Source organism: Homo sapiens, chromosome X (assembly GCF_000001405.40).
Source record: "Homo sapiens chromosome X, GRCh38.p14 Primary Assembly".
Lineage (NCBI taxonomy): Eukaryota > Metazoa > Chordata > Mammalia > Primates > Hominidae > Homo > Homo sapiens.
In genome coordinates, this window is record NC_000023.11 from 133,242,079 (window position 1) to 133,266,322 (window position 24,244).

At 43.0% G+C, this 24,244-nt stretch overlaps 2 annotated features.

Annotated features, from left to right (window-relative positions):
* Positions 8,380-8,963: an enhancer, noted in NCBI's record as "NANOG hESC enhancer chrX:132384486-132385069 (GRCh37/hg19 assembly coordinates)". NCBI's record gives its function as "activates a minimal SCP1, AML or CMV promoter by ChIP-STARR-seq in primed H9 embryonic stem cells {active_cell/tissue: H9 hESC(primed)}" and the evidence as "EXISTENCE:reporter gene assay evidence [ECO:0000049][PMID:30033119]".
* Positions 23,012-23,535: an enhancer, noted in NCBI's record as "NANOG-H3K27ac-H3K4me1 hESC enhancer chrX:132399118-132399641 (GRCh37/hg19 assembly coordinates)". NCBI's record gives its function as "activates a minimal SCP1, AML or CMV promoter by ChIP-STARR-seq in naive H9 embryonic stem cells {active_cell/tissue: H9 hESC(naive)}" and the evidence as "EXISTENCE:reporter gene assay evidence [ECO:0000049][PMID:30033119]".

The window sequence follows — 24,244 nt, forward strand, 5'->3', positions numbered from 1 at the left end:
ATCTCATGAAAACTCACTATCACAAGAACAGCAAGGGGGAAATTCGCCCCCATGATCCAATCACCTCCCACCAGGCCCCTTCTCCAACACTGGGGATTACAATTCAACATGAGATTTGGGCAAGGACACAGACTCAAACCATATCAGGTGGAATCAGAGATGGATCTTGAAGGATAAGCAAGGCTGGCACTTTGTATGGGGTAAGGGAGCAGCAAGAGCAAAGGCTTGGTGGTGGAAATTTAACATTCAATGGTCTTGTCCTGGTAAGGAGACTCGTCTTATGAGAGGAAAGGGCTTGCCCTGGCAGGAACATACATGCAGGCAGTCATCCATGTATGTTCCTGCACAGTGTCAATGAGAGTCACTCATACTCTGACAATATTCGGGAAGCCAAGATTTGTAGAACATTCTGTTTCCATATGGTTAGTTAGTTATGAGTTTCAGAACTTGGAAACCTTGCAACCTTCGGAAAGAACCAGACTACATATTAACGGATTAAAGTTTCAAATGTCATTTTCCATTTCTGTCCAAATGAGGTTGAGACATTTTTGATGAAAAAAAATATCAAGCTTCTCATGACTAGTTTCTTGCACGGTATCTGAATGATTTGGATCACTGGTTGACTTGATGGTAGCCACTCAACACCAAGACAGAATCGTTTCCAATCATGTGGATTTTCAGTATCAAAGACAGATACTGATACTAAGTGACAGAAGTTAGGTTTCAGAGTTGAGCATGATGCTTAAATCTCTTCTTCTGATTAGCTTTGATAACTCCATGTCTTTAAATTTTGTTTTATTCTTTTGCGACAGGATCTCACTCTGTCGCCCAGGCTGGAGTGCAGTGGCACAATCAAGGCTCACTGTAGCCTTGTAATCCTGGGCTCAAGCGATCCTCCAACCTCAGCCTCCTGATTAGCTGGGACTGCAGGCGTGAGCCAACATGCCCAGCTGATTTTTTTTTTTTTTTTTTTGACTTGTAGTAGAGACAAGGTCTTGCTAAGTTGCCCAGGCTGGTTTCTAACTCCTGAGCTCAATCAGTCCTCCTGCCTTGGCCTCCCAAAGTGCTGGGATTACAGGCATGAGCCACCATGCCTGGCTCCATCTCTTTAAAAAGCAATCTGCCTCTTTAGTTTGATCTATCATTTGTCTCTGACCCTCCCCAGAGTAGCTTTCTTTTGAACATCCTATGTGAGGGACTACACACATTCTAAAACTAGGCTTCATCTTTTGATACAAACCAGCTTCCTGAATTCTGTGTGCAGGTATACACTGTTTCTGCACATTTTTGTCTACATGACACCACAAACTGCTCTGACTTGTGTATTTTTTATTTTTTTACTTTTCAACCAATGATTTTGGTGAGTAGATCCAGCCTGAAGATAAGCAATAATACTTGTACTTGTTCCACTTCGACTACCCAACAGTGGCTAATGGTTCAAAGGTCATCAATAAGAGATTGGATTTGGTTTTAAAGTTCTCTTTTAAAACCAAAGAAAACACAGTGTTGCACTAGGCCCTGTATATAATGTTTGGCTTGGATGCAGGTGAGAGGTTCTTGGGAAGGCTTGATGCAACACAGTCTTCAAAGACTTTAGAAATTGGCATTTCCCCAGTTTGCTTTTAGCATCCAACTTTTGTTGCTGATCAGAGTTGACACTTATTCATAGAGGCAAAGACAGAAAGAATGTGAACCCTTGGGACAGCTAAGAAGGGTGGAGGGATTGGTCTGAAAGATTCACAAGGTGACCCAAGTGGGGATTTCTTCGGCCAAGTGGCTAGAACTGCTATTAATTCTTGCTGTCTTCAGATGTGTGGTAGTGAGTCATCTGCTGGGGTAGGATTAGTCTTATTTTGTAGGAATGGACAGCACAAAGATTCCACCCAGATCTTATATAACATGCTGGCCCCAGAGCTCAACACACTCTCTTTCTATAATAATTCTTAGCTACAGAGCATTTTACCAAGTTTGAATAATCACTAAGCTCAGTTCTTGAGGAAGAACGGAAGTGCCACCATACAAAGCTCAATCTTAGGGATCATATACCAACACAGATCTTTCCATTTCATACAATCAGTCCTCTCAGAAGTTGGTTTTCTCATCAACCCAATTAGTGTGGTCCTATAATCTAGGAGTTGGAAAATGGGAAATTGAGTTCTGACCCTCATTAGCTGTTAGACCCTGAGAAAATCATCTCACTTCTCTGAACCTCCATTTTCTCATCTACAAAGTGGGCATCTATATATCTGCCCTGCGTATGTGTCAGCACTGCTGTATGAAATAAGATAGCATACATAAAAGTACTTTGGAAATCATAACTTATAACAAGTATAAGAAATTATTGTGATTACTTTGGTTTTGTAGGGTATGTTATGGTTATGTTGCCAACAAAACCTAAATAACAATTTCTAATATAAAAATATTTTTTTAAAAAAAACAAGCATTGAGTACACTATAAAAATGTGGAAATCTGGGCAGCAAGTTTGGGCACAATATGGCAGTCTATGACCCCAAAACTCATTTGAGATAAGCCAATAATAAAAGAGACTTTTTTACTTTAGGAGCTTCCAAATGCCCACCCTGACAAATGGTGCCCAGCTCTGAGTGATACTGGGACCCTTGAAGCATTGCTAAAAGCCCACCACCCAGATGTTCTGTGCATGTGTCCCATGCTTAGAAAACTCCTAAACTTTCCAGAAACTACCTATGATAGTTTAAGATGTTATTTACTCAAGACAGTGGCATGGGAAACAAGCTCAAATAAAAGGAGTATGCCTTTTGTGCTGAAGATCCAGAGCAGGGGTTGCCAACTTCTCTGAAGAGTCAGACATAACAAATTCCTTACATTGGGGTAAAGGGAACAGAGCAAGCACAGGTCTGGAAGTAGACAAAGATCACTAATCCAGATGGGCCTACCTCGTGATATCTCACATATACTACCATTTTAAGATCCATTTGAGCTAATAAGCACCTTTTTCTTTTAAAATGCAATGTCTAAGGCTGGGTGTGGTGGCTCACGCCTGTAATCCCAACACTGGGAGGCCAAGGTGGGAGAATCAATTGAGCTCAGGAGTCTGAGACCAGCCTGGGCAACATAGTGAGACCCGGCCTCCACAAAAAAATACAAAAATTAGCTGGTTGTGGTGACGTGTATCTGTAGTACCAGCTACTTGGGAGGTTGGGGCAGGAGGATTGTTTGAGCCTGGGAGGTAGGGGGTTGCAGTGAGCCTAGATTGCGCCACTGCACTCCAGCCTGGGTGACAGAGTGAGACCCTGTCTCAAAAAAATATAAATAAATACAATGTAATCTCTTTGAAGATAAGGTCTATCACCCACTTATACCTTAGTGTAAGTGTCTTTAGTTAATCCTTAGTCATGTTCTCCCATCTGAGATCTGTTATAATGTAAGAATAAACATTTTGACTGAAGAGTAAGAGTAGTTTTAAAGTTTAGCATATTTTGGGGAAGGGCAGCTTGGAGTGGACAGTCAGAGGGAGATATCATAGAGTTTCTGTGGGTAAGGCAAAGAAGGGCCACCAGGAAGCAGGAGCAAAGTGCAAAAATCGAAGATGAAGGACACGACAAGACCCAGGATATGTTCTCAGCTGTTCCTGTAGGCAAGTAAAAATAATAAAGACCTGAATTTTGGTATGCTAGCTGTGGGTGGCCAATGCCTAATCTAGAGAAATGACAGTGGGACTGAATTGTTTTTCATGTTTTTTTTCAGACACATGATCTCAGTTTGTCACCAAGATTGGAGTGCAGTGGCACAATCATGGCCCACTGCAGCCTTGATCTCCTGAGCTCAAGTGATCCTCCCACCTCAACCTCCTGTGTAGCTAGGACTAAGGTGTGCACCACCATGCCTGGCTATTTTTTATTTTTATTTTTATTTTTGTAGATACTGGGTCTCACTATGTTGCCCAGGCTGGTCTTGAACTCCTGGGCTCAAGTGATCCTCCCATCCCAGCTTCTCAAAGTGCTGGGATTACAAGTACGAGCCACCACACCTGGCCAATGGGACTGAATATTAATTTGACTTAAGGGAAAACAGAGTAGAAGGAGAGGAAAGGACACTGTGCACATAATGGTTCCCAGTCACTCATGATGATCTAAGCCACAAGGACCCCAGAACACCTTACATTTAGCCTGAGCCACAGACACAGCACAAGATTGAGTCAGTGTGGCCTTGAGTTCACTGAGCCATGGCTAACAGTCCATCAGCAGAGCCATGCTTCATCCTTTGACTGAGGCAGCGCAAGCTCACCAGGGCAAATGAAGTCTCTAGGTGAACATAGGTTGTTCTTTTCAAGTAAACAGGAAAAGAGTGAAAGCTTTGTAGTAGCCCCAACAGTGGATATCATTTTAAGCAAATTCTGTAAGCCAAAATCCACATTTGTGCATTAGGAAAATAAGATGGAGTAGTGGACAATACAGGGTTGGATGGATCTACAGACGTGATAAAACAAGTATAGCAAAAAATTGGTGGCAAAATCTGGGTGATAGGTACATGGATGTTTACTAAAAATATTTAAGTTTACTGTATGTTTAAAATTTTTCATAATAGAAGGGTGGAGGGGCAAGAGATTCTTCCCTCAGAAAAAAATCCACATTTGCAAAAGTGATCTTTTAGGGCATGGTACACTTTTCTAGAAAAGGATTTTCCTGATTAACTTTTAAACAAGCCCATCACTTCTGAGGAGTGCAGTACACAAATGAAGTGGATGTCATCCTTGCTGAAACTATATTAGCAGATTCTTCATTTCCAGGGAGAGAGGGAACATGAAAAACATAGAGATGTCTAAAATTTCAGTGCAAATGTAACCAGTTTATAATTTTTTTAATACAATGTCCCCAAAAACTTCAAGAAAGAAAATATTCCCTCAGTTTAAAATGCATGTTAAAATCTGCTTAAGTGTGTGGGGGGGGGTTGGTCTGTGTATGTGTGTATGTGTCTTAAATTCTGTGGAAATTAACATGATTTATTTAACAAAAAGCAGACCACTGAAAGAGGAGGAAGGAAGAAACTGGTCAGGCAGGCAGTTAGGGTAGGTCCTCAGTTGAGTTCTTTCAAATAAAGAACAGCTTGCAGACACAGATAAGGGAACTGGCACAGAGGTGCTTGCCTAAGGTATGCCCACAGCCACATAGATAAGAAAAGCTACACAGGAGACTTGCCTAGACATCCCTGCAATGGAAAATTCCATCCCCTGACACATGTGCAGTAAGGGGAATAAAGCAATATGGAATAACTCAAGCAAAGGGCCCACATGTGTACTAGGAGGATGGGGTGGAGCTACCATAAATTTGCACCTCATGCAAATGAGACACCCAACCCTCATCAGTTTCTAATAAAAGCCTCTGTATTCAACTGTGAAGTGGCAACATTTTTTTTGGGGACCCCTCTCTATGGCAGAGGGCTTTCTCTCTTTCTTTTGCTTATTAAAGTCCTGCTCTATCCTCACCCTTGGAGTGTCTGCATCCTTGATTTCCTTGGCCATGAGACAAAGAACTTCGGGTGGCACCCCAGATAGAAAGGCTGTTTCACCATTACAGATCTGTGAGTTAAAGGGGGGTGAACAGAGATCTTGTGTGCAGAGTTTCCTTTATGAGGAAACAAGAGTGAGGGATCAAAAACAGATCCACAAAAATTAGGTAAGGAGACACCTTCTAAATATGGGGTGATAGGGTGGTCATTCAGGTTCATGCTGCTGAAATGAGTCTACATAATTGGACTGTCCTGTTCTTGCTGACTGTAGTGAAATAAGGCAATAAAAGTGCAGTTTGGGTTTTCTCTCTCCTGCTTGGAATCATGATACTGGGGTATGGCTTGGCCTACAAAGCGCCTTCCCATTTGATTTGCTCCTCTACACAGCGCTGAGAATTTGAATGTTTGAATGGCAATTGTAATTCTCATCTCGCAGATGGAGACACAGAGACTCAGGGAGAGTCAGAGAGGTCACACATAAAGGCTAGGGCTGGGCCACAAACTCCCATTGCTTGGCACCTGATCGCTGTCTCTATGGAGATTGAACCTGAGTGTCTTGGTGACTTCAGGTACTGTGATTAGGTGTAGGATTTCAAGCTATTCCAACATAGGTTTCAGCTATGCTAAGACAGCATTCCTTAAGACAGCTGAAGCCTTTCAAAGTACTAACTTTTCTGCCTGACTCTTATTCTTAGAAATGACACCTGGAAGGCACAGCTTCCCGTTACTCTAAGTGGCAACAATTTTTGCTTCTGCCTAGACTAGCCTGTTGTCTGTCTTGCAGGGGCAGGGCTGCGAACTTTGTATGTTTTAGGACTTTCAACTGCCAGAAGGCTAGAAGAGGCCCTTAAGTGGCCTTGCTCTAATAATCAGTACCTGGTGAGTCAAGAATGCCTTTGTGTGATACAGCTCTGCTTCTCCCTACAGGATTTGCTAAGCAAAAGAGAGGATGTATTATTGTCAGAAATGATCTAGTCATTGAACTGTAGCTAGTGAAACTGCCTTTACAAAAACCCTAACAGTGAAGAAATTATGGCAGTGAAGGAGATCTGATCTGGCCAACCCTCATCTTGCCTTTAGCCTTCAAGCTGCCCTTAATTATTCCTGGGCTTATTTGGGAGACATTTAGTTTATAGTTTAAATGATAATAGTCCTTTCCCAAAACTCAACTGCCTTTGTAAAGCTAATGAGAAACCACCAGACTAGGAGGATAGAAAAGCCTGAATTTCATTAAGGTATAGATATCAAGGATTGCCAGCCATTATTCTGGAGGTCACAAGATATGCAACTTTCCCAATTACTCCTGCAGATAACGTCACCATTGTAGAACCTACGACTGGCCTTTTGAGATATCGTTTCAGGTTTTTTGCATGTCTGACCGAAGGCTCCACCTGGACCTGCCAACTGCTCCTGTGGCCCCACCCAGAAGCGATCAGTCCAAGAGGACAGCTTCAACTCCCTATTATTTCATCTCTGACCCAAACAGTCAGCACTGTCCATACCTTAGCTCCCTGTCCAGCAAACTATCTGAAAAACTCCTAACATCTGAACCTTCCATGAAACTGATTTGAATAATAACTCCATCTTCTGCATGGTGTGGCCAGCCTCGCGTTAATTAAACTCTTTCTTTACTGCAATGACATGGTCTCTGTGAATTGATTTTGTTTGTGCAGTGGGCAGGAAGGACCCCTTGGGCAGTTACACTAGGACACCTGCTCCCTAGGTTTTTGTACTCAGCATTATGGGAAAGATACTCACTCCTCTTTCTAGCCCTGAACACAGAAAAGCAAACATGTTGGGAATGTCAAAATGGCAGGAGAAATTGTGCCTTTTAATCCAAAGGGATGTTTGGAGAAGAATGATCAGTCAGCTTTGTTTCCCCCCAACCCCCACCCCCTTGGCTCATTTCTTACAGGAAAAGGGGGAGGAAGAAAAGTTTGTCAGGATTTTGCAAATGAAAAACACGTCCACACTGACAGAAATAGACTGTTTTCTATTAAGGAATTTGGTCATGGGAACAATTATTTTTGAATTTATCATCATGTTTATAAAATGATATTCCAGAAAAGATTAGAAGGAGAGATTTTGTGAAATAATTCCTCTAGCTTGGTTCTCTTTGTGAATGCCTCAATAAACAACGTTAGCCATATTGCTGTTGTTTTCTATTGAACTTTGACCGGGAGATTTAAAAATTGCTGCAAGTGAGACAAGAAGGTTCTCCTCTATTTTCCAATTTGTGATATTAGTGTTTTCTATTTATTAAGTTCTCCATGCCACCTAGTGTTTATCTGAAGAAATACCAGATGATTGTTAGCAAGTCCCCCAGTCCTGTGCAGGGCTTCAAGTTCATGCAGTAACTCAGTTAGACATGCTCTGTGTGACATCCCGACTGACTGAAAAGTTTGTGATGATCTTCAACACTAACACATATGACCCAATTCTTCTCCCTGAAGAAAACATTAACTTTTTTTCTTCTATAGCAAGCTTGTCCAACCTACAGTCCACGGGCCACATGCATGCAGCTCGGGACAGCTTTGAATGTGGCCCAGCACAAATTCATAAACTTTCTTAAAACATTATGAGATTTTTTGCAATTTTTTTTTTTTTTTTTTTTTTTTTTTGCTCATCAGCTATTGTTAGTGTATTTTATGTGTGGCCCAAGAAAATTCTTCTTCCAATGTGGCCCAGGGAAGCCAAAAGATTGGACACCCCTGGTCTGTAGGACTTACTGGCATCAAAGAAGTCTAGAATGGTCATTAGAATGGTCATGGTGGAAGGGACATTCCAGACCTTTACACCCCAGCCCACTGTTGTGCCAGGAAACCCTTGTGTACAATGCAGTGTTTCACAACAGCCTCCCTGGAACATCAACTTTGCTCTTTATTTTTTTCTTTGAAAGTATCTGAAATATATGACAGGAAAGCCAGGAGGGGCCTGAAAACCATTCAGAATCTCTGTTTCTCTCTGTGGCTGCAGCAGTAGGCAGAGAACGCACAAGAAAGAAAGGGCCTGTTTTATCTCTGGCAGGCGCTGGCCCAGCAGCAGGATCCAGGTTGTGCAGCTCACAGAGCTCTAGCTGGAAGGGCTTGATTGAATTCCTCCTCCCTCTTCCTACCCGCCTCCAAAAACAACAAACCCCTTACAAACAATGCCCATGATGTTAGCAACAATGAAGCTGTCCTTTTCAAAATGTGTCTTCTATCATTTGCCTTCAGTAATTACCAAGGCCTTCTAAATGCTACCACAAGCTGAGCTAGGGCTGGAGAGGGTGTGGGGGCAGGGAACAGAGCTGTAGGAATGAAGTCCAGTTTTCCAAAGGGACCCTGGCAATCCTGCTGTGGCCCTTTTCTGGGTTTACAGAAAGTAGTGGTTGTCATAATTCTGGCAAACACATGCCCTGTATTTTATACAACAGTTCCAGTTTCAAATAGTTTCCCTTGTCGTTCACGTAAGCACACTTGGCCTGGTCACATTATGGATTTCTTTTCTTTTTTTTTAAGGTGGCTGCTTGGAAAATATGCTCACCATCTCATTAGAGCCACGGTCTAATAAGGAGGAAGCCCCTTTCTGCCACCCTTTGACAAACTTCCCCACTTACTGTTATTACTTCCCACGGGGCCTGAAGGGCCACAGGTTGCTGATAGGGTGAGGGCTTGCAAAGTCAGCTGGGGGCTTGAAGAGCTGGCAACCTTGATCTACACATTTGGAGCCTATAAAGCACATTCACTTTGGGCTAGTAAACAAAATGGATCTGAATTTTTTTTTTTTGTTTCTGTGTATGCTAATCTGGGCAATTTGCAAATCTTACTACAACAGACGAAATACTATTAACATGACCTTATTGAAACCCACATCTGTAGTGAGACAGGGAACCAGTCATCACAAGTGTCTCCACGCAAGGCCCCAGAGGATATCTCCAGGAGGTGAGAGCTGCATTTGACAAACTCCATAGGCTCTGAATCGCCTGTCAGTTCTGCAGAGAAAAGCCAACGTTCCTGCTGACCACACACCATACCCGATGTCCTTAATTGGAACTCTGTCACCATAACATGGAGCTCTTGGGTCCCGCCTAACCCTTGGTTTTGTTATAGGCATTAAAAATGGGGGACCTCAGACCAGCTGGAAGGGAGGTGGTGCTGTCAAAGTGGGGAAAAAAGACAAAGAGAGGAGCTGGGCATGGTGGCTTACGGCTGTAATCCCAGGGTTTTGGGAGGCCAAGACGGAGGATCATTTGAGCCTAGGAGTTCAAGACAAGCCTGGGCAACATACAGAGACCCCACCTCTATAAAAAGTAGAAAACATAGCCAGACATGGTGGCAAATGCTGGTAGTCCCAGCTACTCAGGAGGCTGAGGCAGGAAGATAAGTTGAGGCCAGGAGTTTGAGACTAGCCTGGGCAACATAGTGAGATACCTGTCTCTACAAAAAATAAAGATTAAAAAAAAAAGCCAGGTGTGGTGGTGTGTGCCTGTAGTCCCAGCTACTCAGGAGGTTGAGGTGGGAGGATCACTTGAGCCCAGGAGTTTTAGGCTACAGTAAGCTATGATTGTACCACTGCACTCCAGCCTGAATGAGAGAGCAAGACTCTGTTAGAAGGTAGGAAGGAAAAAAGGAAAGAAAGAAAGGAGAAGAGGAAGGGAGGAGAAAAGAAAGAAGGAAGGAAGGAAGAAAAAAAGAGAAGGAGAACAAAAAAAGGAAGAAAAAGAAGAAAAGAAAGAAGAAAGACAAAAGGAGAGAAGAAAGGAAAGAAAGAAAAAGAAGAAAAGACATTAAAAGAAAAGAGAAAAGAAAAGAAAGAAGGGGAGGGGAGAGAAGAGGAGAGGGGAGGGGAGGAGAGGGGAGGGGAGAGAAGAGGAGAGGGGAGGGGAGGAGAGGGGAGGGGAGAGAAGAGGAGAGGGGAGGAGAGGGGAGGGGAGGGGAGGGGGAAGGGAAGAGAAGAGGAAGGGAAGAGAGAGGGAGGGAGCTAGCCAGAAGCAGAGGAGGGCAGAGGAAGGGCACACAGGACACCAGAGCAAGAGGTCAGAACTGAGAGACCTCCAACCACGGGCTCAGGGTCAAGGCAGGCCCAAGCAAGATGGGGAAGGAGGGAGTCATCTGCCAGGCCTCCCAGGCCTTCAAGCCACACCTGCCAATCAAGTCTCCCCAGCAGGATCTAAGGAAAAAGATGAGTGAGTATTCTGTTACTGCAAATATTCTCATTTCTTTGAGCTATATCACCGTCTTCTGTCTCACTCTCTTTTTCTCTCTTTGTGAATCTCCTTCTTCCCCTTCCCCTGTTCTATCATTCTGTTAACCTGCCTTCTCCATGCATCTATTCGTCTTTTTTCCTTTCTTTCATCTGGCAGCTCCAAAAGCACTTTCTGATCCATGGAGTTTCCAGTAGCTGCTCCCTTATTGCTGTGGAATCAGGGGTGCCAGGGTCCTTGAGCCTCAGAGCTGCTTCTTTGAAGGACAACCTACTCCTTTCCCCTGGCCTCCCCTTTCCTGTGGCCACCATGCCCCAGACAGCAGGGCCTCCCCTAAAGAGAGCTTGCTCTGGTGAGTAGAGTGGCTTCAGCAGGACCCAGTCTTTTGAGTCACGGTGTGATCTTGGGGTCTGGGCCCCCAACTCTGGCAGTAGCAAGACTTGAAGCTCCACAACCCAGGGCTTTGGCAGCCCCTCCGCAATTTCACAGTATAGGCTCTGTGGCCTACATGGAATGCAGGTCCTGCTAAGAGCCCCCACCATTAACTGCCTGCTCTGGACTAAGTGACATCAGACTAAAAAGTAGCATTCTGGGCCGGGCGTGGTGGCTCACACTTGTAATCCTAGCACTTTGGGAGGTGGAGGCGGGCGGATCACCTGAGGTCATGAGTTTGAGATCAGCCTGGCCAACATGCCGAAACCCCGTCTCTGCTAAAAGTACAAAAAGTAGCTGGGCGTGGTGGTGGGCACCTGTAATCCCAGCTACTCAGGAGGCTGAGGCAGAAGAATCACTTGAACCTGGGAGGCAGAGGTTGCAGTGAGCCGAGATCGCACCACTGCACTTCAGCCTGGGCGACACAGTGAGACTCTGTCTCAAAAAAAAAAAAAAAAAAAAAAAAAAGGCAGAACATTCCAAGCTGCTGTTCTTTAAAAATAAATAAATAAATAAATAAATAAATAAATAAATAAATAAATAAATACTGCAATGTTTAAAAACCTCTAAAAAAGTATTTCCCAAACTTCTACTCCCTGTTCTTAACTTCAGTGGCTGCTTGGGGGAAATAGATCCCTTTAGTTTCTCTGCTCTGTTGTGTTAACAAAATTGTTCCTCGAATGTTACCTTAGATTAATCTGGAGAGGAGAAAAACAGATCCAACTCTGCAGCCATCTCTTATTGCTACAGAGTATTTGAGGGAAAATTTGCTGAAAGTAGATTTTCACACCACTGGGAGCCAATGAGTCAAAAATGGAAAAACTTAAAATATTTCAAAAGTTGAAGTAGTGTCACTGACTTATTCTGCTGGGTTTTGCCTAGAATGAAGGCTGGTCCTCCAAAGTCAGAGACAGAGAAAGGAAAGGCAGCAATTGGATGGGAGACTCACTTAGGTCCGAGGGTCCGAATGACTGCTCGCCAAGCTAAAGGGTAGGGAAGGGCCACTGAATAGGGCCCAGCTCTGCAGCCCTATTCAGAGTCCCATTCAGTCCCTGTCTCCAAGGAGCGACCGGAGGTCAGGGGGAAGTCCGGACAGCTGCACTTTGCAACTTGGAAGTAAAACTCCAAGGCTTTGATCTTTTCTTCTTCTTCCTTCATATTTAATCTTGTGTTTTTAATTTCCTTCTTTATTGCATATTTGACAAACCCAACTACTGAATCGGTGGAATCTTGTAAATAATGCACTGTGTTTCCTCCTCCAAACCCAAGAGGCTTGGGCCCATTTGACCTCTGTGGTTTATGCAAAATCACCATGGGCCCCCGAAGAAGATCTACATTTCCAAAAGTCACATAATCATTGACACTCACGCTGAAAGGGGCAGTTGAGATCATTCTCATCCAGCCTCATCATTTTACAGATGAAACTGCTGTCCAGAGAAACTGGGAGGCATGTGAAATGTCACAGGCTGAGACCCAAAACTCCCAACTCCCAATCCAAATTATTTAACGGCATTACAAGGTTTAGTGGTTTGAATCTATGCCTGATAATGGATGTATTTAAGGGGCCACGGTCATGCAATGTATTTTCTAACATGAGTGTATATGTGTACACACACATATCCATAGACATGTAATCTCCACTTAGGATCAAAAGAAAAAAACATCAGAACTTCCTGTTGGGTTAGTGACTCATGAATACCCAACCAAATCACCATGGGCACTGTAGCTTCTTTACATAAGTCCCTGACAAACAACACATTTTATCTCTGGTCAAAAGCTACTGGTATCACTCTTTTGGGGGTAAAGTCACAGGATATTCTCTCGGATGCCCACCCAAATCCCATAGCCATCCTATCTGTGTTGCCTACCAAAAAGGCAATAGTGCCACTAAGGATGGCGTCTCTGACTCTGATATCAGCTCTGTCTCCACTGGTTTCCCCAGCTCTCTGATCTTCCGGACAGACCTGCTCCTTTCTGTCTCCTTCTCAGTGAGGGAGGAGATGAAGGCTTAATAGGGACTTCTCAACCTTGTCAGCATGAAATAGAGAAAGGGAGCTCACATCATGATCTCCATTGGTGGCCCTATTGGGGAAGGTCTGATGTTACACCAGCTCCTCCTAACTTTCTCCTGTACCCTTCAACTTACATGTCCTTCTCAGATCAACCTTCTCTGCAGGTATACATCCTATAATTGCTGATGCCAGGTGTTGGACATCAGATGATTATACCCACACTAAACTCATGGTACCCCATTTCTAAAACCCTCCTCTGATGAGAAGAGCACCTGCCTGTGAGCTTCAGACTCAAGTTACCCAATACCAAAAATCTTGATCTTCAATGTTGACTCAAGTGGGCTACTTCTTTAGGTAGAGCAGCATCTATCCTTGAGGCATCTGAAATACCCACTCTGTGATACTTGGTGGATGGTTAACCCTCTATAAACAGAAATATAGTTTGGATATTTGTCCCCACCCAAATCTCATGTTGAAATGTAATCCCCAATGTTGGAAGCAGGGCCTGGTGAGAGGTGTCTGGATCTGGAGTGGATCCCTCATGAATGGCTTCAGCCATCCCCTTGGTGATAAGTGAGCTCTCGCTCTGAGTTCACATGAGATTTGGTCATTTAAAAGTGTGTAACACATCCCCCTCCTCCTGCTTTTGCTCTGTGAAGTGCCTGCTCCCACTTCACCTTCTGCCATGATTGAAAGGTCCCTGAGGCTTCACCAGCACCATACTTCCTGTATGAGCCAATTAAACCTCTTTTTAAAAATAAATTACCCATTCTCAGGTATTTCTTTATAGCAATGCAAGAACAGCCTAATACAGACAGCTATAGCCATAAACAGCTATATGCACTATGGAATCATAGATATATGTTCATACCAGAAATCGACTTTGTTGAATTTATTCTTTCTGTCAATATTTTACTTTCATTCATTCATTCATTTATTCAACAAACATTTACATGTCACATGGATGGCTCCTTGAAGATTAAGCTGAAATGCCACAGTTTCAGAAGAACCTTCTCTGACCACCTAAAGAACCCACCAACCTTCCGGCCCTGCCATCGGGTGACCCTTTTATTTCCCTCAAGACATTTACCATAATCAGAAATTATCTTATGGATCGAGTTACTGTCTCTCTCCTCCAACCAGAATGTAAGCTTCCTGAGGACAGAGGTCTTGGCTGTCTTGTCCACAGCTATATTCCAACACCTATGTTTTCCTTTCTGAAACCTAGAGGTTAGCACAAAGCCTGTATAGAAAAGGTAAGAAATATTGATTAGAGATTGTGCAGCAGCTTAAAAGAATGGGGAGGGCTCAATATGTATCACCATGGAAAACTCTCCAAGTGAGACTGTTTTGTGACAAAAGCCAAAAAATCTGCCTAGTTTAATATCATTTAGGCTTCAAGAGAACACTCTAAACCAAACTGTAGATTTCTGTATATACGTATTCCTATGTAAATGCATCAAAAGGGTCTGGATAAAGAGGAGGGAACACTTCCAAACTCATTCTGTGAAGCCAGCATTACTCTGATACCAAAGCCAGACAAACACAGAATAAGAAAACTACAGACCAATGTCCCTGATAAATAAGGATTTAAAAAACTCAATAAAATATTAGCAAACTGAATTTAACAGCACATTAAAAGGATTCTACTCCATGACTATGTCGAATTTATACCTGTGGTTGTGATCTGTGTCCCTGCCCAAATCTCATGTCAAATTGTAAGCCCAGTGTTGGAGGCGGGGACTGGTGAGAGGTGACTGGATCATGGGAGGAAAGTTATCATGAATGGTTTAGCACCATATCCTCAGTGCTGTCCTTATGAATTATCACAAGATCTGGTTGTTTTAAAAGTGTGTAGTACCTTTCCCCTGTCTTCCTCCTGCTCCGGACACATAAGACATGCCTGCTTCCCCTTTTGCCTTCCACCATGAGTGTAGGTTTCCTTAGGCCTCCCTAGAAACTGAGCAGATGCTGCCATGCTTCCTGTACAGCCTGCAGAATCATGAGCCAATTAAACCTCTTTTCTTTGTAAATTACCCAGTCTTGGGTGTTTTTTTATAGCAGTGCAAGAATGGACTAATACAACCTGGATGCAAGGATAGTTCAACATACAAAAATCAATCAATGTAAGCCTGGTGTGGTGGCACATACCTATGGTCTCAGCTATTCAGGAGGCTGAGGCAGGAGGTTTGCTGGAGCCCAGAAGTTAGAGACCAGCAGGGGCAATATAGCAAGACCCCCATCTCAAAAAGTTAATCAATGTGATAAATCATGTTAACAAAGTAAAGAACAAAATCCACATGATCATCTAAATTGATGAAGAGAAAGCATCACTCAAATGAAAATTCAATACTTTTTCATGACAAAAACACTCAAGAAACTTGGAATAGAAGGACAGGCCATATATGGAAAGCCCACAACTACTGTCATATTCAGTAATGAACAACTAGAAGCTTTTCCTCTAAGATCAGGAATAAGACAAGGATGCCCACTCTTGCCACTTCTATTCAACATAATACAAGAAGCCCTGGCCAGAGCAATTAGGCAAGAAATAAAATGTGTTCAAATTGCAAAAGAATAAGTAAAATTATCTCTGTTTGCAGATGACACGATCCTTTATGGAAAAAAGCCCTAAAGATTTCACACACACACACACAAAAATCTGTTGCAACTAATAAAGAATTTCAGCAAAATTGCAGGATGCAAAATCAACAGGCAAAAATTAGTTGTGTGTTTTGTGTGTTTTTTTGTTTGTTTGTTTGTTTTTTTGTAGCACAAGCGACAAAAGCAAACATAGACAAGAGGAACTACATCAAACTAAAAAGCCTCTGCACAGTAAAGGAAACAATTAACAGAGTGAAAAGGCAACCTACAGGATGGGAGAAAATATTTGTAAACCATGTTTCTGATAAGGGGTTAATCTCCAAAATATACAAGGAACTCCTACAAATTAATAACAGAAGAATAAATAACCCAATTTAAAAGTGGGCAAAGGACTTAAATAAACATATCTCAAAAAAGACATGCAAATAGCTAACAGAAATATGAAAAGATGATCAACATCACTAATCATCCAGGAAATGCAAATCAAAACCGCAATGAGATATCACCTCATACCTTTTAAGATGGCCATTATCAAAATAATAAAAGATAACAGGCATTGGCATGAGTGTGGAGTAAAGGGAACCCTGTACACTGTTGGTGGGAATGTAAAATGGTGTAGCTGCTATGGAAAACAACAGTAAGGTTCCTCAAAAAATGAAAAATAGAACGACTATATGAACCAGCAATCCTACTTCTGGGTATACATCTAAAATAATTCAAAACAGTATCTCAAAGAGATATCTGCACACTCATGTTCATTGCAGTGTTATTCACAATAGCCAAGAGGTGGAAACAACCCAAGTGTCCACTGACAGATGAATGGATAAAGAAAATGTGGTATATACACACAATGAAACATTACTCAGCCTTAAAACATTACTAAGCCTTAAAAGCCTTAAAACATTACTCAGCCTAAAAAGCCTTAAGCCTTAAAAGCCTTAAAAGGAAAGGACTTCTAACACATACTACAGTGTGGATAAACCCTGAAGACATTATGTAAGTGAAAAAAGCCAGTCACAGAAGACAAATAATGCATAATTCCACTTATATGAAGTGTCTAAAAATATCAAAATCACAATAATAGAAAATAGGTCTGGGTGGACGGAGAAGGGGGAATTGATGTTTAAGGGGCATAGAGTTTCAGTTTTGCAAGATTAAAAAGTTCTAGAGATCTGTTGCATAACAAATTGTATATACTTAACACTACTCAACTCCACACTTAAGATACTAAATTTCATGTCATGTGTTTGTAACCACAATTTAAAATAAAAATTACAAACAAAACAAAAATTGGGGTAGATATAGAGGGAACTGGAACAGGGGAGTCAGAGGAAAACTTTTGATTTTTTTCTCTTTTTTAACATTGAAACTGTTCTCAGTTATTACTTATGTAATTGAAATCATTGTTTAAAGTTTTAGAAAAAAAAAATCAGAAAAGGACCCTACTCTGGAGGCATTTAGAGTCTAGTGAAAGAGACATTCATCTACACAAAGCATGCACGGGCCAGGGGAGTGTGGTGGCACCAGGTGCAGTGAATATGGGGGACAGAAAACTTGTTCCTCCTGGGCCAGCAGAAAAGGACTCATGGGGGTGGCGGTGGTCATTTTGTGTCAGACTCCAAAGACAGGTAGATATTTGTCTGGGGGAAGGTTAGTCTAGGCTCTAGAGAGCACACCATTCAAAACCTTCCACTGCAATTTCCAGGGGTTCAGCTGCAATATATCTAAAGCACACTTAGCTCAAATAATACCATGAAATATGAGGGAGGAAGAAGTCTTAAAGACCCCTTTGGAAAACACTTGATAAAATAGCTAAACTAATGTCAAGAAATGCTAAAGCTCTAAAGCTTATTATATGCATACACAAAGTGATCTAAAGCAGAGTTGGGGTATGCCAGACCCCACAATCATTTCATACAGTTCAGTTTAGCCTAACAACATGACTGCATAGAATTCCTTGGAGGATTCACTAAGTAAGTAAGAATGATTTTCCACCAGCAAGCTTTTTAAATGTCTGTATATACATCTGCAGTGCTTGAGGGGGATTAAGACATTTGCTCTCTTTCATTCTTCCATGCATTTGAGCTTACACTATTAATTTGCTCAGCAAACCATTTTATTCATGGCTAGAGCAAAAGAAGCTTTAACTCAACTGTTGTCTGAAATTCAAATGGGTAGGGTTTAAATGAGAGGGTCCACCATACAATCAAGATATTTATCTAGTCAACTCTTAGTTAGCACCCTAAATAGAGGAGTAGTGTTCACAGAGTGCCAAAAGCATTTTGCTTTCTTTCAGGGATACTGACATTGAATTTTTATTTTCATCATCCCATTTGCCTTTCCTATTTTGTTTTCTTCAGGTGAAACAAGAAAACCAGTTCACAGTCCAGAGTTCCTCGGCTGGCTAGAATAACAGATAAAAATAGCCAGGTTATGAGGTCTAACTTTCCCAAGGGACCACATTGCAGCTACGATTGCTCACAGTAACCTGTTAGCTCCTTACTGCCTCCCACATCTCCAGGGCTGGCAAGAAAATGCCAGATCCCAGGCTACAGTGCAAGGTCATTTCCAAGAACAAATCGTTCAAAACTCTGAAGTCAGGGGTAGCAGCTCCACTTTAGTCCAGAAATCTGCCAACTCAGGTGTAGTGTAGCATCTTCTTTTAGGAAGTAGTATAACACTGTAGTTAAAAGTGTGGTCTTTGAAGCCAGTCATCCTGGATTTGGATCCCAGCTCTGCCACTTGCCAGTTGTACGATCTTGGATGAGTCACTTAACTTCTCTGTGCCTCAGTTTTCTCATCTGTTAAATGGGTGTAATGATCATTGTGAGGTTAAATGAGTTCACATGTGTAAGATGCTTAGGTTAATTTTAAAGCTGCCAATACATCCAGCTTGGGCAACATGGTGAAACCCTGTCTCTACTAAAAATACAAAAATAAGCCAGGCATGGTGGCATGTGCCTGTAGTCCCAGCTACTTGGGAGGCTGAGGTGGAAGGATGGCTTGAGCCCAGGAAACAGAGGTTGCAGTGAGTTGAGATCATGCCATTGCACTCCAGCCTGAGTGACTGAGACCACCATCTCTAAAATAAAAATAAATAAATAAATAAACTGCAAATGTATGCTAACTCTTCATTGGTTCTTCCTTTCATTGGGTCAGCATAACACCTCCAGGCCTCCCCCAAGGCTCATGTAATCTTCAACCTTCTGGTGGCTACGTATTCATGGGGACATTTGTCACATGGTATTGTTAATCTGTTGCATTGTTAATCTATCTGTCTTCCGCCAAGATTGTAAGCATCTTGAGGGCAGGGCCAAGTCATTCTTGGTTATATCTGTAGCACCTGATATAGTCCCTGGCCAAAAAAAATTGTGTCAGCTCAGTACAAGTCTTTGAATTAAGCTCCTTTGAGTTTCCTTTAATTCTGAGCTCAGTGGTGTCCCAGCCAGAGGGCCCAAATGGCTCATTTCTGAAGTCAATGACCATGTCTCATTGTCAGGATCCTCTGTGAACAGTAGGCGGGGATCATGGGCCAAAGGATGTCTCCACCAGAGTTTCACCAAGTACTTACAGTATCAGGAAGAAAAACCAAACAGTTACAGCTGATGGACACCCATTTTTCTGTAAGATGCTTGAGAAGTGGGTGGGTTGAAGAAGCCTAGGCATGGCAGGGTGAATGATGCTCCCCCGAAAGATGCCCACATCCTAGTCCCCGGAACCTGTTACTTTACATGACAAAAGGGACTTTGCAGATGTGATGAGGTTAAGGAGCCTGACTTGGGGAGAGTAGCCTGCATGATCCAGGTGGACCCAATGTCATCACAGAGGTGTTTATAAGAGGGAAGAAAGAGGATCAGAGTCAGAGAAGGAGATGTGACCATGGAGGCAGAAGTCAGAGACAGAGTGAGATTTAAAGATGCTGCCCTGCTGGCTTTGAAGGGGGAGGACGGATCTGTCCACCGAGGCAGGCAGGCAGCCTCTAGAAGCTGGAAAATGGAAGGAAACATTCTCTGTGCAGCTTCCAGAAGTGTTGCAGTCCTGCTGACATCTTGATTTTAGGACTTCTAACCTCTAGAATTGTACGATCATAAATCTGTGTTGTTTTAGGCCACTAACGTTGTGGTAAATTCTCACAGCAACAATAGGAAACTAGGGTAGGAATGCCATCTAACAGTTCTTCATTTATTTCTAAAAAGAAATAAGTTAATCGATCATTTCCATGATTTTACCTCTCCAAATTGGAATTGCAGAGGTGGTGGCCTGGAAGCACATGTTGTAGTTGATAGGAAATATCTGATGTTTCTTATTCAGTTTGGAACTCAGGACCATCTTTCAGCATTTCAAATGAAGTTGCTTTTCTCCTATACTCTCCTGTACTTAATCTTAAAAAGCATAACACATCACATCATTCTCTCATTGTTCTCTTCAAAATCCTTGGATGGTCTTGTATTGGCTACAGGATAAAAAGCAAACTCTTCAGCATTCCATTCAAACACGTGGCCCTAGTTGCGTTTCTTTTCTTCTCTTTCTCTCTCTCTTTCTCTCTCTCCCTCTCTCTCTCTCTCTTGTCTTGCTCTGTCACCTGGGCTGGAGTGCAGTGGTGCAATCTCGGTTCGCTGCAGCCTCCACCTCCCAGATTCAAGCGATTCTCCTTCCTCAGCCTCCTGAGTAGCTGGGACTATAGGCCTGGCTAATTTTTTTTAATTTTTTTTAGAGACAGGGATCCCACTATGTTGCCCAAGCTGATCTTGAACTCCTAGCCTCAAGTGATCTGCCCACCTTGGCCTCCCAAAATGCTGGGATTGCAGGCATAAGCCACTGTGCCCAGCCTCCTTGTTGGTTTTCTAGATTCAACTTTTACCATTTCAAGCCTCCTCACACCTTATGTTCCAATCCATGTGGCTTCATGCTCCTCCCAATTGTATTAGTCCATTTTCACAGTGCTGATACTGACATACTGGCTGGGTGTGGTGGTTCACGCCTGTAATCCCAGCACTTTGGGTGGCTGAGGTGGTTGGATCACCTGAGGTCAGGAGATCGAGACCAGCCTAACCAACATGGTGAAACCCTGTCTCTACTAAAAATACAAAAATTAGCTGGGTGTGGTGGTGGGCGCCTTTAATCCCAGCTACTTGGGAGGCTGAGACAGGAGAATCACTTGAACCCAGGAGGCAGAGGTTGCAGTGAGCTGAGATAGTGTCATCGCACTCCAGCTTGGGCAACAAGAGCAAACTCCGTCTCAAAAAAAAAAAAAAAAAATATCGAGACTGGGTAATTTATAAAGAAAAAGAGGTTTAGTGGACTCACAGTTCCACGTGGCTGGGGAGGCCGCACTAACATGGCAGAAGGCAAAAGACACACCTTTCATGGCAGCAGATAAGAGAGAATGAGAACTATGCTAAAGGGGAGAGTCCTTATAAAACCATCAGATCTCATGAGACTTATTCACTACCACGAGAACAGCATGGGGAAAACCACCCACATGATTCAATTGTCTCCCACTGGGTCCCTCCCACAACACATGGGAATTATGGGAGCTACAGTTCAAAATGAGATTTGGGTGGAGACACAGCCAAACCATGTCAGTGATCATGCTGTATGTAGTCCCATGCACCCTCCCCGGTGCTTGGTTAGGCTGTTCCCAAGGGGAAGGTTTACTTCCCTTCCTCCCCTTCCTGCAATAAACTGAGGTACTAGATCCCCCAGCTGATTCCCAAAACCTCCCTTGAGCCCTTTTTACATTCCTCCTCATTACATGTTTATGCATTTCTCTATCACCCTAGAACATACACACGAGGCCAGGAAAAATATAAATTTCTTGATGATCTCACCTCTCACTTCTCACCACTACTGTTTCCCCTACACACATACACACACACACACACACACACACACACAGCCATACACATAGTAGTCACTCAATAAGTGCTGAAATAATTAATGTGTATTAGGGTCAAACATGATAGCACAGCAAGGAGACCAGTGCTCTTTCCATTCTGCTAAGGAGAAAAGATGACAAGAGTCAGGATTCGGACTTGGAGATGTCTGGGTTCAAATATGTGCTCTGGCATACACTAGCTGTGAATTTTAGGCCAGGTACTGAACATCTCTGTGCTGTAGTTTCCTCATTTGTCAAATGAGAATAATAATACCTTCCTTTATGACTATAGTTAGTGTAATGACATGATATGTTCAAAGCCTTTAGCACAGTAACTGGTACTAAGTAAGCACTATATGTGTCTGCTATTATTGTTTTTCTTTTCTTTCTCACTCTGTTGCCCAGGCTAGCACACAATAGCATGATCTCAGCTCACTGCAGCCTTGATCTACCAGGCTCAAGTGATCCTCTTACCTCTGCCTCTCAAGTAGTTGGGACTACAGGAGCAGGTCACCATGCCTGGCTAATTTTTTTGTATTTGTAGAGACAGGGTTTTGCTATGTTGCCCAGGCTGGTCTCAAACCCCTGGGATCAAGCAATCCTCCCGCCTCAACCACCCAAAGTGCTGGGATTATAGGCATGAGCCACCATACCCAGCCAGCTATTATGATTAACATTATTTTTGGCTGCGAGTGGTGGCTCATGCCTATAATCCCAGGGCTTTGGGAGGCCCAGGCAGGAGAATCACTTGAGGCCAGGAGTTTGAGACCAGCCTGGGCAACATAGCAAGACCCCATGTTTACCAAAAATTAATAAATTAGCCAGGCATGTTGGCATGTGCCTATAGTTCTAGCTACTCAGGAGGCTCAGGCAGGAGGATCACTGGAGCCCAGGAGTTCAAGGCTGCACTGAGCTATGACTGCACCACTGCACTCCAGCCTGGGCAACAGAGCAAGACACTGAATCTAATAAGTAGGTAAATAAATAAATAAATAATTTAAAAAGCATTATTTTTACTATATAATCCTTGTTGGCACAGGCTAGTCCCTTCTCCTCCTATTGGCCTTGTTTTTCCCATTTCACTGTAATAATGGTTCAAACCTCTCAGGATAATCTCCAGGATTACACTTTATTTTAAAATGTAAAAAAAAAAAAAATGGTTATTTAGAAATATTTAGCGCTGGATGTGGTGGCACACACCTGTAGCCCCAGCTACTCCGGGGACCGAGGACGGAGGATCTCTTGAGCTCAGGAGTTCAAGGCCAGCCTGAGCAACATAGTGAGACCGTATCTCAACAACAACAACAAAAAAGTTTAGCAACAGTCCCGTTCTGATTTTACTTACCATATGCCTCCCACCCGCAATGCACCCCCATCACCAAAATGGGATCTCCTGAAGTTAATGAAAATTAATACTAACCTCTAAATAAAAACATTACTGTTCTAAATAATGGTAATTTCTAAATACTTTGCTTACACTGTATATTGCAGTGGACTTATCCTTAGAGTACCCATTTTGTAAACAGCTGAGGGTTTCTGTTATTTTACATAAGATTTGACATCCAACTCAAAACTGAGACAGGGTGGAAACTTTGTCAAGTTCAAGTCATCTCTGCAGCACCAATGCTTTGCCCTCTTTTTAATGAGCTGGCGTCCTCCTTTTGAGACAGACTGAAGTGAACTTGGATCAGACCCTTAGTCCTGAAACAATGCGCCCTACCTTTGTTGAAGCGCAAAGAGCTTTTCTGTGCAAAGGCCAGTGTGTTTTAACAAATGGCATTCCGCACATTTTCTCGACCGAGGCTCCAGCCTCAGCGGGATTCCACTGCATTCTTGACAGTCCGGCTCCTTTCCTCTGGCAGGGGGTCAGCCTGGGGCCACTGGGGTCAAGGAACCTCCACGGGCTGCCCCTGCCTCTTAGGCTGACAATGCAAGCCCGCACCGCGGCACTTCCTGCTCTAGCAGCCTGGTCTTGTGGGTGCTCAACTACCCAGTGAGAGGGGCCCCCAGGCTGCGGAGGAGGGGACAGCCCGGGCTGCACTGGAGGTGCCAAGAAGGAAACAGAGAGGGACAGAATCCTATTTTATTTCATGTTTTTAAGGAGGGGCCTCTGGGAAGGGGCTGGAAGGGTTAGCCTTCCTTAGGAAGCTCTTGTAAAAAACCCCGGGCGATGAGCCATGCACAATACTGCCCCGTGGTCCCGATTGCAGGTGGACCTCCTTGTAAGTGTTTCATGGCCATCAAAAGGCCCCTGGCAGGAAGGAAATAGTAAGAACAGTGCTTATATTTGGGTAGAGAGATGATGGGTGACTTTCCTCTTCTTTCTTACATTCCCTGTATTTTCTCATTTATTTTAACAATGCCTACACATTGCTTGTGGGATGTCAGTTAACAGCCTCCCCTTAAAAGCTCCTTCCCATTGCTGCAGACTGTGTCTGCAAAAAAAAAAAGAAAAAGAAAAAAAAAAGAAAATTCCCACAGGCAAAAGTCGGGATAAGGGTTCGACCTCCAGAAGGCCTCTTTTAAAACGCATAAATGTGTATGGAATGAGCTGGGGTGCAGATGAGGAGTGAGGGAGGTGTGGCACAGGAACCCATTAGCAACCATTAGTTTCTTTTTGTTGTTTTTGTTTTGTTGTTGTTGTT